Consider the following 17950-nt stretch of genomic DNA (forward strand, 5'->3'; position numbering starts at 1 on the left):
TGTATCTTCATGTATTTCATCATTTAATGCTCCCAGCCAGCCTGTACTACTAGGCCCATTTTATAGATTAGAAAACTGAGATGCAGGCCGGGCATGGTGGCTCACGCCTGTAATCCCAGTACTTTGGGAGGCCGAGGTGGGTGGATCACGAGGTCAGGAGTTCAAGACCAGCCTGGCCAACATGGTGAAACCCTGTCTCTACTAAAAATACAAAAATTAGCCCGGTGTGGTGGCAGGCGCCTGTAATCCCAGCTACTTGGGAGGCTGAGGCAGAGAACTGCTTGAACCCGGGAGGCATAGGTTGCAGTGAGCCGAGATTGTACCACTGCACTCCAGCCTGGGCGACAGAGTGAGACTCCGTCTCAAAAAAAAAAAAAAAAAAAAAAAAAAAAAAAAAAAAAAAAAGAGAGAGAGAAAGAACTGAGATGCAGAGCACATCTATGGCCTGTCAGGGGTTGCATTCCAATCCAGTGGCTCTGATTCCAAATCCAGTGTTCTTCTACTACACCACAGCGGCCGATGTGGGGGAATCCCATTACCCTGGTAAAAGCTTTCTCTGTTACTATGCGAAATCTATAAACATATGGAAGATGGCCATTTCTAATCAGCTTATTAGAGAAGCAAAAATCTGTGGATTTGGAGGCATGAGTATGATGGTTTCTTCTTCCTACGTAAGACACTACCCTGGCATGGTGACCAGGACTCCAACCCTGATGTGCAGTACTTACATCGTACACCTGGGGACTGGTCAGACATCGAGCTAGTAAGCCACACCAGGCGGGGAGCGTGGTGGTTAGTGGGGGACCACTGTGTGTGAGGATGGGCTTCAGGTAACTTTAAAATGTGAATTAAGGAAAAATGGCTGCAAAGAAAACATATACACAACAAAATGTGCTTAAAAAATTGCCCGACATTCCACCCACAAAAACCTTCTTTTCCCCATTTTACTCGTACAACACACGAAATACTTGTAACATGCAACAGTTTGAATCAAAGAGTAAGATACGCCCTATCAGCCTTAAATAGTAACTGTTAACTCTCAGGTTGGTAATTCCCAATTTTCAGTTCAAACGTGTATTTGATTAATTAGAAATTAGATCCCCCTTCTCCCTTTGTCATGTTGAATGGAAGTTTTGGTTTCAATCAGCATTTCAGCCTCTGACACACAACTGGCTCCAGGCCTTGGAAACAGGAGATAGTGTCCCTGGAGTGGGGAGTTGCAGCCCCTGTGTCCCCTCTGCTCTTGTTCTCTGCATGGATTCCTGTTAAACCACTCTACCCAGAGGGCAGGTGGTGGAAATGCTGAAGTTGGACAGGACCTTAGAGGTAGCCTGGGGCTACTATAAAGGCAGAAATTGAGACTTGGCAACATGAAATGATTTCAGTAAGGTTACTCGGACTGTAAGTCTCTCAACTTCCCATACAGGACCATTCTTCACTCTACCCACAGCTTCTCTCCTAGACGCTAACACAAGGCTTTTCAACCTCAACACTATTGACATTTAGGGCCAGATCATTCTTTGTTATGGGGGGCTATTCTGTGTATGGTAGGATATTGAGCAGCATCCCTGATCTCTACACACTGCAGATGCCCCTCGACTTATGATGCAGTTACATCCCAATAAGCCCATTAGGTTGAAAATATCATAAGCCAAAAATGCATTTAACACACCTAACCTACCAAACATCACAGCTTAGCCCAGGTTACATCAAATGTGCTCAGAACACTAACATTAGCCTACAGTTGGGCAACATCATCTAACACAAAGCCTGTTTTATAATAAAGTATTGAATATCTCATGTAATTTATTACATACTGTACTGAAAATGAAAAACAGGATGGTTGTATGGGTACTCAAAGTATGGTTTCTACTGAATGCAGATCAATTTCACACTATATCGTAAAGTTGAAAGATCCTAAGTTGAAGCATCTTAAGTTGGGGACTGTCTGTAGATGCCAGTAGCACCGTTACTCCCCTCTCCAAGTTGTGACAATAAAAAATGTCTTCAAAAAATTGCCAAATGTCCCCTGGGAAGCAAACTTGTCCACTGCTCTAACATGAAGGTCAACGGATAAGCAGAGAGCTTATCTTGCTTGTCTGTCACTTGGTGAATATCAGCGCTACCAAACGCACAGCCCTATGTGGGAAGCTCCATGAAGCACCAGCCACATTTTGATACAGCCGGGACCACTTCTGAAACCTACAGCCTAAGCAGTGTGGAAAAGGTGGGGTCTCAGATGGCCACTTCCACTACAGGGATGGCCAAGAGACTTCAAAGAAAGTTGAGGAGATGCCACCGCCATCTGTACCTAACAGGATGACTGCTGGGAGCATCACCCCTCACTTTCTGTTTTCATTTAGAGCAGCACAAGAGAAAAGCAGCTCTCTCTAGAGGAGGAGATGGAAGGGAGACACTGGAGCATGCTTCTAGTTTGAAATTACTCAACCAAAGAGGATGTGCAGGCCTGGCTGGAGCTCTGTTTTTTGTTTTGTTTTTTTGAGACGGAGTCTCGCTCTGTTGCCAGGCTGGAGTGCAGTGGTGAGATGTTGGCTCACTGCAACCTCCGCCTCCCAGATTCAAGCAATTCTCCTGCCTCAGCCTCCCAAGTAGCTGGGACTACAGACGCGTGCCACCATACCCAGCTAATTTTTGTATTTTTAGTAGAGACAGGGTTTCACCATGTTGGTCAGGATGGTCTCGATCTCTTGACTTCGTGATCCACTCGCCTCGGCCTCCCAAAATGCTGGGATTACAGGCGTGAGCCAACGCGCCCGGCCTGGAGCTCTTTATACGCGGAACCAGCTCCCCTTTGCTGTCCTTGAACCACATTCCCAGGGAGAGATGCAGACCAGGCGCTCCTCCAATTTGGGAAGAGACCCTACAGGCCTGTCAGTTTTCTTGTGTCTTTGGCTCAGAAGATGACAGAGGCTCAGATCTGTAGAATGACAAATACGCAGGAGGCCAGGGGAACTCAGAGACTGCTTTTCAGTTCTCCACCTCAGGTACTCCAAAGACAAGCTCCCCCTTCCTCCTCTCCAGAAGGCCCCATGACAACTTCTTCAAAAAAAGAAAAGAAATATGTGTATATACATATACATATATATATATATATATAACCAGTAAGCTATATATATGTTTTTAAATATTCAAATTGTTGGATGGGACAAAATAAAACATCAAGTCTTTCTATCCCACTCTAGTTGTTCTGGTAATTACATTACAACTTTAGATAATACACTTCTCCCCCATTTCTTGATTTATAAACTTTAGTCTGAGGCTTTTCCTTCCTAGTAAGGATGGTACGTTTAACTCATTTACACTCCTGTCTCTTTTTTCCAATTTTTTCTTCCCAATTTTTATTATAATTAACTTTATACTGGAGATATATAACATTTGCTTTCTACTTTATAACTAATAAGTAGATTTTTTATGCTTTGTGTATAGATTGAGTCTAAGTGTTAAAAACCAGTAAGCAGACTGGATGCAGTGGCTCAGGCATGTAATCCCAGCACTTTGCGAGGCTAAGGCAGGCAGATGGCTTGAGCCCAGAAATTCAAGACCAGCCTGGGCAACATGGTGAAACCTCATCTCTTAAAAAAAAAAAAAAAAGCAAAAATTAGCAGGGTGTGGTGACACATGCTAGCTACTTGGGAGGCTAAGGTGGGAGGATCACTTGAGCCTAGGGAGGTCAAGGCTGCAGTGAGTTATGATCGTGCCACTGCATGATCAGTGCAGAGTGAGACCCTGTCTCAAAAAAAAAAAAAACCCACCCCCCCAAAAAAAAACAAAACAAAAACAAAAAAACAAAAACCAGTAAGCAGCATTTGTAATATAACATCATTGCATGAATGCTGTTCTCTGGAGAACCAAGCAAAGTGGTTGGAGCAATATAAAAGGAAATGTAACACACTGTCATTTAAATTTTGTCAGTCAGAAGAGAACCCTTGAGTATCTTGCCAAATAAAAGATCTTTTCTTTTTGACTTTGTTCACTTCTTCTGAGTTATAACAATCACTGTCCCCTTTGCTGGATTTTGTTTTGTTTGATCTTTATGTTATTTTTCTTCCTTCTTACAGGGTCTGCATGGTGCTAAACTTTCTGAATTTTTACATGTCTGAAAGCTACCCTCCTTCATTCTCTTATTTTTGATTGACAGTTTGGGTGTAGAATTCTAGGTTCAGACTTCTTTTTTTCATCCTAGAACTTTGAAGACATTGCTCAACTGTATTCTAACAACCAATTTTGTCGATGAGAAGTCTGATTCTTGCTTTTTGGAGGTTGCTTGTTTTTATCTTTGGAAACCTCAAAGATTCCCTCTTTTTCTCTTGTAGTTATGGAATGCCCCCGAACGTGTCCATTCAACCTACTCACACTTGGTGGGCCCTTGCACTCTGGAAACAACTGTCTTTCTTAGCTAAGGGAATTTTTCTTCCATTATTTCTTTGGTACTTTTCCTCCAAAGTCTCTGTCCTCTCCTTTCAGATCCTGTCAAATGATTTGGACCAACTGATTCTGACCTCCATATCTTGAAACTCTCCTCTTACATGTTTCTTTTTGCTATAATTATTGGACTTTTTTTTTCTCAACTCTATCTTCCAGATCAACAATTTGGTCTTCATCATATTCAAGTTATTAGCTATCCATTACATTTTTTTGGTTAATTTCAGAAACCTTGTTTTTAATTTTCAAGAATTTTTTGTTTGATTTACTCCTTTTTCTAATAATCTTCTCTAGTATCATGACTGAAAAAGCCTTTCAACTCTCTAAGGATTAATCAAAAAGTACATAATTGTTTAATTAGTCCCTCATGTCTCTATTTAGTTTTTCTCTTCATCAGGCAGGTACAGACTCCTACCATGGCCAAAGTTGGGTGGGGAGTGACTCTCAAGAGAAAAATCTTTGATGCCCTCAAGATCTGTTTCTCTACCAAGCCCTCTCCAGGTAGTGTCTCTAACTTTCTTTAGGTATCTGTGGCTTGAAGAAAAAATTAGCAGCTACCAATTGATCTGTTGACACAGGAAGTACCTGTTGCAGCTGTTCTTAACATTCTTTAATAAAATCATCTGGACAAATTGGCTCAAGACTTACCTTTGTCTTACATTACAGTTTTCTCTCCTTTTTAGTTTTTTTCCAAACTAAAAAGTGGAAATCCCAAAGTCACTAAAATTTAGATTCAGATGAAACTTTAGAGATAACTCCTGTTCCTCTTCAGAGGATCAGTTTCTCACTTTAGCACTGTGTCACTCTCCTGGTGGATACTCTTCCATTTTCTTTACATCCTTTCTGAGACCAGCAGGCAATATGCATTCTGGATTCTAATAGTCCACATGGCTTGAAAAATCCCTGGGGGTTCTACTTCAGTTAGTAGCAAACAAGGTAATTTGAACCAACCTTTCCACTGAGAACAACTAGAAAAGCTAGACAAAATAAAATAAGACAAAACCATCTGCTTGAAGGCTTCAGAAAGCTACCAAGGCAGTGAAGAGGGGTGGAATTTGAGAGGAGGAAACCAAAGAGGTGAGCCCTGTGGTTGGTGAGCCACAGTTTCCCTAAAGGCACCTAAGAAACAGAGCAGAGCATTTGGCAGAGTCACAAAGATAGAGTGAACCTGACAAAAAAGAAAGTCCAGGGCCTACTGAGGAAGAAGATGGAAACCAGGCTTTAGGTGGGGATCCTAGAATAAAGGGTAAAGAGAAAACAGTCAAGACTAACTCTCACAGGAACTAGGGCCCAGCATCAAATCATCCTTATTCCTGTTTGGATTAAAGTGATCTGCAATTGCTAATACCCCTAGCCTAGCCACTGATCAGATATAAGCTTAAATCATCTCTGAAGGATGATGATGTTAGGCAGAGCATCTCAAATTATCTCTAGATTTTTTTTCTAGAGAAAAAATTGCCCATGCTTGTCACTCAGTAAAAAAAAAGAGATGCACAGAAGACCAACAATAAAGCTTCTAGAAGATAACATAGGAAATTGGCTTCATGACTTTGGGGTAGGCAAAGATTTCTGAAACAGGACATAAAAAATACTAACTAGGAGATCAATACATTGGATTAAGACCTTTTGTTCATCAAAATATTCTATTTAAAAAGTGAGGCTGGGTATGGTGGCTCACGCCTGTAATCCCAGCACTTTGGGAGGCCAAGGCAGGTGGATAACTTGAGGCCAGGAGTTCCAGACCAGCCTGGGCAACATGGTAAAACCTCCTATCTACTAAAAATACAAAAATTAGCCAGGTGTAGTGGTGTGTGCCTGTAATCCCAGCTACTCGGGAGGCTAAGGCATGAGAATCACTTGAACCCGGGAGGAAGAGGCTGCAGTGAGTTGAGATCACACCACTGCACTCCAGCCTGGGTGACAGAGTGAGACTCTGTCTCAAAAAAAAAAAAAAAGTGAAAAGGCAAGTTACAAAGTGGTAGCAGATATTTTTATCATGTATGATCAGCAAAAGACTCATATCCAGAATGCACAAAGAACTCTTACAAATCAGTAAGAAAAAGGCAGACAACTCAATAGAAAAATGGGCAAAAGACTTGAACAGGCACTTCACAAAGAAACATACCAAATGGCCAGTAAATATATGCAAAGGTGCTCAACCCTATCAGTCATCTGAGAAATGCAAATTAAAGCCATGATTAAATACCACTACAAACCCAATAGAATGGCTAAAATTAAAAAGACTGACAACACCAAATGTTGGTAGGATGTGGAGTAACTGGAACTCTCATATGCTAGAAGTGACTGTGTAAAGTAGTACCACTATTTTGGAAAACTGGCACTATCTTCTAAAGTTGAACCTACCCATGTCCTATTACCCAGCAATGTTACTCCTGGGTAGATTACCAAAAAAAATATGTATATGTACATCAAAAGACATGTACATCAATAATAGAATAAATTGTGATATATTTATATAAGAAATACTATGGAACAAGGAGAACAAATGAACTAGAACTACACATAACAACATGGCTGTATTATACACATAATGTCAAGCCAAATAAGCCAGACACTAAAATATATATACTGTATAATCCTATTTACAGAAAGTTGAAAAACAGGTAAAACTATTAAGTGTTGCTAGAAGTCAACAGAGCAATTACATTTGGGGAGGGGGAAGGGGTAGTAATTGAGTCATGGCATGAGGGGTTTGGCAATTTTCTTTCTTTCTTTTTTTTTTTTTGGAGACAGGGCCCAAGTAGCTGGACTACAGGTGTGTGCCACCATACCTGACTAATTTTTGTATTTTTTGTAGAGACAGGGTTTCATCATGTTGCCCAGGCTGGTCTATAATTCCTGGGCTCAAGTGATCCACCTGCCTTGGCCTCCCAAAGTACTGGGACTAAAGGCATGAGCTACTATGCCCAGCCTTGGAATTTTGTTTCTTGATTCGTTTGGTGTTAAATGAGTGTGTTTATTTTCTGATAATTTACTGAGCACTTATTATTTGTGTACTTTTCTGTATATCTACTATACTTCAATAAATTTTTAACAGTTTTGGCGTCTCCAAAGACCATATATAATAAGCCACCTGCCCATTTGATGACTATGTCAACTTAAGAAACCATGAGGGGTTGGGTGAAGTGGCTCATGCCTGTAATCCCAGCACCTTGGGAGGCTGAGGTGGGCAGATTGCTTGAGCCCAGGAGTTCGAGACCAGCCTGGGCAATATGGCGAAACCCTATCTCTACCAAAAATACAAAAAATTAGCTGGGTGCGGTGGCATGCACCTGTGGTCCCAGCTACTTGGGAGGCTGAGGTGGGAGATTGCTTGAGCCTGGGAGGGGAAGGTTGCAGTGAGCTGAGTGCGCCACCACACTCCAGCCTGGGCAATGGAGTGAGACCTCATCTCAAAAACAAAAAACAAACAAACAAACAAAACAAACAAAAAAAACCATGAGGGTTTAACATTTTGGTTTTTAATTTTCACTTGAGACCAAGTGAATCTACTGGAACAGGGTTTGCCCTGCATGTGGCCCAGTTATGCCAGTATCAGATCATACAAGATCAGACTTGGCCGAGTTCATCCAATAGGAATTATCCTCCCCATATGGATTAACAGCTGAAGTTCTACTTCCTTTTCTGACCACAGCACGATTCATTGCGTAATTTTAATCTAATCACCTAAAAAGGCATAGTTCCCTGGACACAAAGCTCTTAAGAGCCACATGAGTCTACCAGGCTGTGGGCTGGTTACTCTAAGGATATGCAAACATTCCTCTTGGCCAGAGAGATACTCACCAGGACTACCTATGGTTGAATGCTCAATGCACACGTTCCATAAGAGGATGGGCTATCCCTGTCCCAAGCATGCATCTTTCCTTACTTATCAGGTGTCATTCACCGACAATTCAACAAGATTTCATCCCCAATGTTTCACCGACACAGGGGATGCTACTTAAAAGGATACTTGTGATCAAAGCTGTACCACAGCCTGAATATCCATGCGCTCTCCTGTTTTGTCCGGTTTCCTCTGGCAGAATCTGGGCCGTCCTAGGAACAAACAAGAGGGCACATGCTTAGTTGTACAAAAGGGATCTCAAAGAAAGGGGAAAAAAAACCTTTTTTAATAACTTGTATAGCTCTGGAGCTCATAGTCAAACATCCCATGTCAGCAAAGTTTCAAAGATATATTGGGAGGTAGCATTTGAGCAGAAATTAAACTCAAAAGGCAGAAAAATCAGTCTCCAAAGTAAAAAGGCTGGGTTATGCCTGTGGATAGCTCAAACTTAATATGGAACAACATTTCTTTTGGCATTCTTATTGCAATTTTCCTCAAAGTGTCTTTCAGCAGATTAATTACCCTAAAATACTCTAGATACTAACAGGCCAAAATTGATTTATAGCGAATATTTTTAAAAGCTTTTTGTAAAAGCAACTTTCCAATCCTCATCCCCAAAGTAGGCCTGTGGAAACCACATATTGTTGAGTATCCTGACAAACTAGTTAAGGCTTCTCTGTGGTCCTTACCCAGGGACCTACACTGTGCTCCAGGTGGTAAGGTACTTGTTTCCCCACCAGCTTTAGGAAGGTGGGATCAGTGGGCAGGAGAAACGAGCTCGAACTAACAATTCTGTTATTTTATCTACCATCAAGTAGCAAGTTCCTTGCTACTCTCATGCCCTTCCAGTTTAAACATCCCCATCGTGTAACTTTCAAAATAACCTGCAAAATCAAACATTCATTTGAGGTTTAGGAAATCTGTTCTGTGCAAGTATCAGAAGCAGCACAGTTAATATAAAACTCAGACTGACTGCAGCAATTTGAGGGTACTACTAGGGCTGTGCAAGCACAGACTGCTTGTGAAGCTATTATTATCATCATTCTCTTTAATATTACAGGGAGAGGCAACTCTGCAAGTGAGGGACAATTGACAATCACCAAATACAACTTGAACCAAAATTACAAGTAGTTTTAAATCATGGTGAATGTAAATTCTACCCGCAATGGCAACATCAAATAATTAATCAAAGATCTTTGAGAAGCACATAGACAAGAGAAGGAGAGAAATTAGCAAGCACTATTTATTAATACACTCCTAAAGTTTCCAACAGCAAAGATTATTTTTAAAAATTGAATCCCCTCGGTATTTCAGGAATGTTTAGTGATGGATATGGAAATGGCTCAGTTAAATGGGCCCTTCTGTGGATGAGGAAATATAAACAAGGAGAGACCCCAGAGACCAATTTGATTTTACATTTTTATAAATCATGAGCAAGAGAGAGAGCACAGAAATGCCTCCATTTGCAGGGTGACTGATTGCTAACCCAATGACAACTCTGGGAAGATTCCAAAATGCCACATGACTGAGTAGAAAAGTAGCAGATGACTTTTTTGATAGGCAAATATATAATGGAAAAAATCAAATGGTTCTTTATAAAGTAATAGGCTCTAAGTTCTCAGTTCTAAGTGCCTGTAGAATTTTACTAAGGAAAAAGCCAGCACAACGATAAACATCATCAGGAAGGATACTATTAAACCATCAGGCACAAAACGAGTACCCCAAAGTCAGTTTCTTCCGCTTCTTCCCTTAAATCAATGATGAAAACAATGAACCCTACTCTGTCATCTTAACCTCTGCAAAACCACAAAGCATTTATTATCACTGGACTACTTAATTTCTTGCCATTTAATCTCAAGAAAGCTACAAGAACCCCGGAAGTTAAAAGTTAAATTTAAAAAAAGAAAGCTACAAGAGACTTATATAAGCCCCAAAAAAGACAATTAAAATGAGTAAAGCAAGGGAATGGTTTGACAGCAAACTAACAAAAGGTCTTCTCAGGCTACGGAAAGATATGCCTGCAATCCATGAATAAGATAAAGTGACCTCAGACTCCACAGCAAATCCCGAAATGTAAGAACTAAGAAACAACGCTTAGAGGCTACAAGGGGTAAATTCAGGACAAATCAAAGGTGTAACTTTGTGAAAAGGGTGTTAAACAACTTCTTATTCCAAGAGATGGTGCCAGAAGCATGATTAGGTATAGGAAGAACTTAGATAAATCCACATATGGTGGCTTTGGGGAAATCAGGGCAGTTCTGTGGGACAGAACTAATTTTTTAAAGCTGACCCGGAAGACAAGCAATAACTGCTTCATGACATGATTGGGGCTGCTGTCACAGAGAAGCCATTGAGAGCCCTTCCTGTGGGCTCCGAACAGCACCGGACTGAGGAAGGGTCACTGTGGGAACAGGCGGAGCCTCCTTCCTGGCTGTACTTGGCGACTCTTGGATTTTCCACTCCTGTGCCGTCCACAGAAAAAGCACAGACTTGCTCTCTCAACTCGCCCCTCCTCAAAACCTGGGTTCGCACCTCATGTCTTCAGCTCAGGCAACTTCTAGGGCCTGGAGCATTCTTTTTTCCTCTCACCTTCTCCCACCCAGAACACCTACCCGGCCAACCTCTATTCACCTTTCAAGCCTGTGCAGAAGCGTGGCTTCTCTAAGAAATGTTTCAAAAGCGACATAGCACTCCAAGAAGTGTAGGTGTGGATATCACAGGCTCTCTCAAGAGACTATCTGGCTCCTGACTGTGCCGCTGCCATTGTCTTGCTGTGTGATGCTGGGCAAGTTACCTAACCTTTCTGTGCTTCAGTATCCTCATCTGTAAACTGGAAATATTAATAATTACCTACCTCTAGGGGCATTATGAGGCTGTAATGTTGTGATAGAACAAGAAATATATATCTGGTTTTTGTCTGACATAAAACTCCTAAAACCCTTGGAATTTCCTGAGTAGATGGGGTGGGAGGAACATCTTTTTTTATTAATAATAAGCTCCTTTCAAGCACACCTGAATTTATGCTAATAAGGTGACTCTTGAATGGACACTGATTGCCAGAGAAACCAACCATGTAATTAGAGGATTGGAACTTTTAGCCCCATCCCAACCTCCTAGGAGGGGAGGACTGGGGATTGAGTTAATTACCAATGGCTACTAATTTAATCAACCATGCCTATGTAATGAAACCTCCATAAAACCCTAAATGACACAATTTGGAGGGCTTCCAAGTTGGCGCCACATACTCCCATCCCCATCCTTTGCCCTATGCATCTCTTCCATTAGGCTATTTCCGAGTTGTATCCTTTATAACAAACTGGTAATGGTAAAAGTTGTGTTCTGTGAGTCATTCTAGCAAATTATCGAACCTGAGGAGGGGTTGGGAACCCCCCCCTATAGCCAGTCAGTCTGAAGTACAGGTCACGACCTGGGACTTGCAACTGGTGTCTGAAGTGGGGACAGTCTTGTGGGACTGAGTCCTTAACCTGTGGGATCTGACGCTAACTCCAGGTACGTAGTGAGTTAAACTGTAGGAGGTCCAGTTGGTACTCATTGGGAATTGGAGAACTGGCTGGTATACAAAAAGACCCTACATATTTGGCATTAAAAGTGGTGTGAATGTAGAGAAAATAGGTTTTAATTTTAGAACTGTAAAAGATTTTTCATTTAAAGAACTTAGGATGGTGTCTGATATGTGGCAAGCACTCAACAAATATTGACTCATTATTGTTTGCCATGTGACTTTTTGTGCTGATTAAATATTTGTGAAATATTTAACCCAGAATCTGGCATGTAGTTAGAGCTCATATTACTAATTAAGTTCATTTCCAAAGACTGGATATGTAATTTCAAGCACATATTTGTTTGGGGGAAAAAAACGCCTAGCCATTAACATCATTTGGCTATCTTGTGTGGCTTTTTACACAAGGAATTTTCATCTTTTTACTGCCATTATTAATAGAGAAGCCCCTTCAAGAAAATACCACCAACCCTGCTTATTATCATTTTTTGAGCATGTAACAATGAGTGTCTATTTCTTCTGCATTCATTAAGCACCTACTATGTGCCAGGCACCATGCTGGGTGCTGGAAACACAAAGAGGAATGTAACTTAGCACCTGGGCCTCAAGGAGCACTCTTTCCAGAAGGTGAAGGTGGCGAGGGTTGGGGGGTAGGGGGAGGGGAGACAGACAAATACATATTGACTGACAAATATAATGAAGAAAAAGAAAGCTGATTAAAGAACTGGGGAATAGCAAACAGTCCTATTTTTGAAATAATTTTTCTAGAATGAATGCATAATGATATCTGTGTAGAGTTACATTTCATTCCATTCTTATATAATATTAAAAGATGTTTTTAAAAGATAAGGTCATTACACTAATAAGAACAGCTTACTTTTTTTTTTTTTTTCAGGGATGGAGCATGTGGTAGGCAGAATAATGGCCACCCCACCAAAGCTTTCTACAGCCTAATCCCTGGATCCTGTTACACTACCTGGCAAAAGGCTTTGTGGATGGACTTAAGGTTATCCAGGTAGGCCCAGGACAATCACGTGGGCCCTTAAAAGTGGACAAGGAGGGCCAGGCATAGTGGCTCACGCCTGTAATCCCAGAACTTTGGGAGGCTGAGGTGGGCAGATCACTTGAGGTCAGGAGTTCAAGACCAGCCTGGCCATCATGGCGAAACCCGGTCTCTACTGAAAATACAAAAATTAGCTGGGTGTGGTGGCACACACCTGTAATCCCAGCTACTCAGGAGGCTGAGGCACAAGAATTGCTTGAACCTGGGAGGTGGAGGTTGCAGTGAGCTGAGATCACATCACTGCACTCCAGCCTGGGCAATAGAGCAAGACTGTCTCTCTCTCAAAAAAAAAAAAAAAAAAAAAGGACATGGAGGGCAAAAGAGTCAGAGGAAGGAATGCAGTAGAAGAAAGGGCGGGAGAGATTCAGAGCTTGACTTGCCCCACTGTTGCTGGCTTTGCAGCAAGAACACAGGACCTCAGTCCTACAACCACATGGAACTGAATTCTACTGACAACCTGAATGAGCCTGGAAGTGGCTTCTCCCCAGAGCTTAGCCTTGCCAACACCTTGAAAAACTTGAAGCAGAGAAACCAGCTGAGCCCACCAGGTATCTGATCTACTGAACTGTAAGGATGACAAAACTGTATTGTTTTGGCTGGGCATGGTGGCCCATGCCTATAATCCCAGCACTTTGGGAGGCCAAGACAGGCAGATCACTTGAGCCAAGGAGTTCAAGACCAGCCCCAACATGGTGAAACTCTGTCCCTTAAAAAAAAACAAAAACAAAAACAAAACTTTATTGTTTTAAGCCACTAAATTTGTGGTAATTTGTTACAGCAGTCACAGACAACTAATATGGAGCAGAAGAGTAAATAAATGATGTCACTTGATTTGGGCCTGATATGCTTTTTTTCTTTTTCGGACATGGAGTCTCGCTGTGTCACCCAGGCTACAGTGCAGTGGTGTGATCTCGGCTCACTGCAACCTCCGCCTCCCGGGATCAAGCGATTCTCCTGCCTCAGCCTTCCAAGTAGCTGGGATTACAGGTGCCTGCCACCATGCCCAGCTAATTTTTGTATTTTTAGTAGAGATGGGGTTTTGCCATGTTGGCCAGGCTGGTCTTGAACTCCTGACCTCAGGTGATCCACCTGCCTTGGCCTCCCGAAGTGCTGGGATTACAGGTGTGAGCCACCACGCCCGGCCTGGGCCTGGTATGTTTGGGCTCTGTGTACCCCCACAAGTCTCATCTCAAGTTGTGATCCTAAGCGTTGGAGGTGGGGCCTGGTAAGAGGTGGCTGGATCATGGGGGCAGACTTCCCCCTTGCTGTTCTTGTGATAGTGAGTGAGTTCTCACGAGATCTGGTTAAAAGTGTGCGGCACTTCCCCCTTGCTCTCTCTCTCTCCTGCTCCGCTATGGTAAGATGTGTTTGCTTCCCCTTTGCCTTCACTATGATTGTGCGTTTCCTGAGGCCTCCCAGCTATGCTTCCTGTACAGCTTGCAGAACTATGAGTCAATTAAACCTTTTCTTCATAAATTACCCAGCCTCAGGTGGTTCTTTATAGAAGTGTGGGAATGGACTAATACAGGGCCTTTGTCATATCATTGGGATAATGGATCCAAGATTTCTCAGCAGAGGGTAATAATAGGGTTTAGAAACAGGGAATCAGCCAGGCAGTGGGCTCATGCCTGTAATCCCTGCACTTTGGGAGGGTTAAGATCACTTGAGCCCAGGAGTTTGAGACCAGCCTGTGCAACAAAGCAAGACCCTGTCTCTAGAAAAATATTTTATAAATTAGCTTGGTGAAGTGGCACACACCTGTGGTCCTAGCTACTCAGGAGGCCGAGGGAGGAGGATCCCTCGGGCCCAAGAGGTCAAGGCTGCAATGAGCTGTGATTGCACCACTGCACTCCAGCCTTGGCGTCAGAGGGAAACCCTGTCTCAAAACAAAACAAAAAAAAAACCAGAGTCAAATCTCTGACCGTGATACACAGATAGTTTTCTTCCCTGCTTAAAACTCTCCAGAGCTATACATTGCCTAGATCAGGGCTTTTCTAATGGTAAAATGTACACACATTCCCTGGAGACACTGTTAAAATGCAGATTCTGCTTCAGTGGGGCTGGTGAGGCCTGAGTGTCTCCACTCTCTTGCTTCTGCCACTCTCCACCCTCACCCTTTATCACCTTGTCACCAAGCCCTTCAGGATGCAGATTCATCTACCTTGTTGCAGATATTTTCCCAGAACCTGAAAGAATGCCTGAAATAGAACAGGTGCTCAATAACTATTTGTCAAATAAATGAATAAATTGATCTTGACTCTGAGTTTTTAGAAAACAGAAAAGGAAGAGCAGAAAGGGAAATCAGGGGCCAAGGGAGGCACTTGGAAGCACAAAAAAATGGGCGGGTTGGGGGGGGGGCGGTGGTCACAGAGTAGCAACTGGAGGAAAGGCACCTCTGCAACTGTTTGAAGTTAAAGATTTAGGTGACAGATTTACGGGTATCAGATTTCAGCCTGGAGAAACAAAAACAAACAAAAAAAAACACGGAGGACCCAGAAACAAATGATTCTAACTTGCTCAGAAAGTCATATGTGAACGCAACAATAAACTGCTGATTTTCTACAGTTTTCACTACATACACACAGACAGACACGCACACACGTGTGCATATACACAGGCATTGGTGGTTTCCTTTCCTCCACACTCCATTAATATCCGGCTTGTGACCTTGTCCTGTTGATATGGTGAAACTGGGATAAATTCAGATTCACACTCTTAGCTGCTCCAAAGTGGCCTCATCAATGAGTGCTCTTCTGTAAACTCAGGGAAGGAAGTGAATGATGTGTCTGCATGTACGGCCAACAGAAATCTCAGCTGTCTGGTCTGGCATGAAAAGTCCCCTGCTTTATCGGGGTGGGAGGCCACCCCCAGGGCTGGGCAGCTTGCCTCCAGCTAGGGTTGTTTTTGTTTTGGTTGCAAAGTCACCAAGACCTCCAGAGAAACAAAGCACTGAGTTTTGTTTTTTGTTTTTTGTTTTTTTTGTCTTGTTTTGTTCTAATGAGTCAAACTTACCAGGGGACACAAAGCTGAAGTCTGCCCACAATATTTTTATGCTTTCCCCACATGAAGCAAAGTTCTAGCCAACAGCTCCCTTCCTTTTCCCACATGAGCTAATATTCTGTAGCTCCCTAGCCATGACTCTGTTTATAGCCTTGGGCTTCAAGACCAGTGAGGAGAATTGTGCTCATTATAAGACATGCCTTCCCATCAAATGTCACTTTTTTGTTTGTTGTTTTTAGGAAGATTATTTAGAAAATGAGGTAAAGAGAACCGCCCTTTTTTTTCTCTGGTGGAGAACAAACATCTGGACTTTCCCTACCTCTGATTTCAGTTTCATGACAACACTGAGCATGTGACCTGGATCTATTTCAGGGGAAACTGCAAGAACCCAGGGTTTCACCCAAAAATGAGAAGCCCATTTATTTCTGTTTTCCTGTTTCTCATGGCCACAGAGTGCACTGAGCCCTGCTGTTAGTGGCTCACTAGAATGAGGAGGTCAGACCAGGAGGAACTGGAGAAATAAGGTCCTCTCTGCACAAGGGCGTGAGTCATTTCTAAGAGGGTGTCCTGGAGAACCAAGCTTGAAGTTTGCATGTTTTTCCCCATATGACAGCAATCTTGAAAACCTTTCAAAAGGTCAGTGGAACTGACTTTGAGGGGCCCTCTGCATGACTGTGTATGAGGTCTGGAAGGAAGGAGGTCAGGGGGAAGCTGTGACACAGCTTCTGGCTAGGGCTGTGGCAAACAGGGTGCCATTAGGAGTGCAGCGCGAGTGGCTGCCAGCCCGTTCACAACACCACATGTGCGGTGCTCTCAGCCCAAGGGGCCCTCTGGGAGCTGACAGGAACACTGAGTTCATCCATCCAGGCCCATCCAGGGAGGTTCCTGAGACTCACTCCACCTGGGGGTGGGGGCTATTTTAGCTGTTACTGCATGGACTAAATACAAGAACCCTCAGCACTTTGGACCTGCTGCTTTCTCACTCAAACATTTCCACAGAAAAGTGACAGTAAGCTTGTTACTGAATCTAATTACAAGCCCAGTGTTCCCAGTGCGCAGGGCTCATGTGATACATAGTAAGTTCTACTACATGACCAGCCAAATCCTTTCACTTATTTCCTGTTACAGATGCTTGAATGCAGAGGTAGGAGCAATGGGAAACAGCAAAGGGGGTGGGGATGTTTTGAATGGTCCAGAGCAAGATGAAATCTCTCCAAATCTTATGATCCAGCTGCTATTGGCCTTTTTTTCTTACAAAATTAATCTAGACTGGCCACAGTTCTGTGGAGGATGCTTTAGAATAGGGCAGCCATGTCCTACCAGAGCCATTATCTTTCCTTTGGTGAAATAAGGACGGCCATCATGTTTTCCCCTGGGGTTTTCTCAGGCTGAGTTTCAAGATCTCCCAAACTGTTATACTCTAAATTAGCCTCGAGGTGCTCAGTTCCTGAACTCCTGTTTTCTAAAGTCCTTAATCAAAGCTAGAGTCAAATAGCAAATTTTCAAAGAGAACTCACTGAGACCACATGCTCCCAACTGACATAATGGCCAATTCTAAGATCATCTCAAAGGTCTTCTGGAGCTCATTAAAGTGGGTGCCAAATCTCCAATGAAGCTTATTGAAAACTCTTCCCAAAATGTCCAGAACTTTCCAGGTCATGGCTTTGTGTCCCTTGAGCAGGGACCTAGAATGGACATCAATGCTATAAATGCCTTATCAGGCTGTGGCCACCCTTAAAGAGAAAGAAACCACAAAAGGCCACAGTGGCACCCCATTGACCCCACACAGCACCACATTTTGCCAGCCTTATTAAATCTGATTTGGTAGATGGAATCATTTAGAAGATCCTATGGAATGTGAAGTCTGCTGCAGACTGCTGCAGGATTAAGTGCAATGATGAGTCAGATTCAAAGCTGACTGGAAAAAAAAGAATAGGGTTTCATGGACAACATACACAGGTGGTCAGTAAAGCTGCCTGTTGCATGCTGCATCTCTCTCATTCCCTCATCCACCCAACAAACACCTATCAGGTTCCTGCATGTGCCAGCCACTGTGCTCAGCACTGGGCATTCAATGCTG

The 17950-nt window shown here is 42.8% G+C and overlaps 1 protein-coding gene and 1 long non-coding RNA gene across 11 annotated transcripts in view; one reads left to right on the forward strand and one right to left on the reverse strand.

Moving 5' to 3' along the window:
• SLC9A7 (solute carrier family 9 member A7) overlaps positions 1-17950 on the reverse strand; it is a 159868-nt gene that overhangs the window by 13310 nt on the left and 128608 nt on the right. For all 10 annotated transcript variants that reach the window (XR_007068203.1, NM_032591.3, XM_017029905.2 and 7 more), the window contains 2 exons: positions 8417-8499; positions 729-834 (listed from right to left, as the gene is read on the reverse strand). Coding sequence is in view for 9 of the 10 variants with exons in the window: in NM_032591.3 (NP_115980.1) it covers positions 729-834; positions 8417-8499 (189 nt within the window). In the remaining variant the exon portion in view is untranslated. The remainder of the gene's footprint in view (positions 1-728; positions 835-8416; positions 8500-17950) is intronic.
• LOC124905182 (uncharacterized) lies at positions 828-14346 on the forward strand. Its single transcript, XR_007068222.1, has 2 exons — positions 828-11797; positions 12703-14346. It is a non-coding gene; the product is annotated as an uncharacterized LOC124905182 (long non-coding RNA).

The sequence above is a fragment of the Homo sapiens genome, chromosome X (genome assembly GCF_000001405.40).
Source record: "Homo sapiens chromosome X, GRCh38.p14 Primary Assembly".
Classification (NCBI taxonomy): domain Eukaryota; kingdom Metazoa; phylum Chordata; class Mammalia; order Primates; family Hominidae; genus Homo; species Homo sapiens.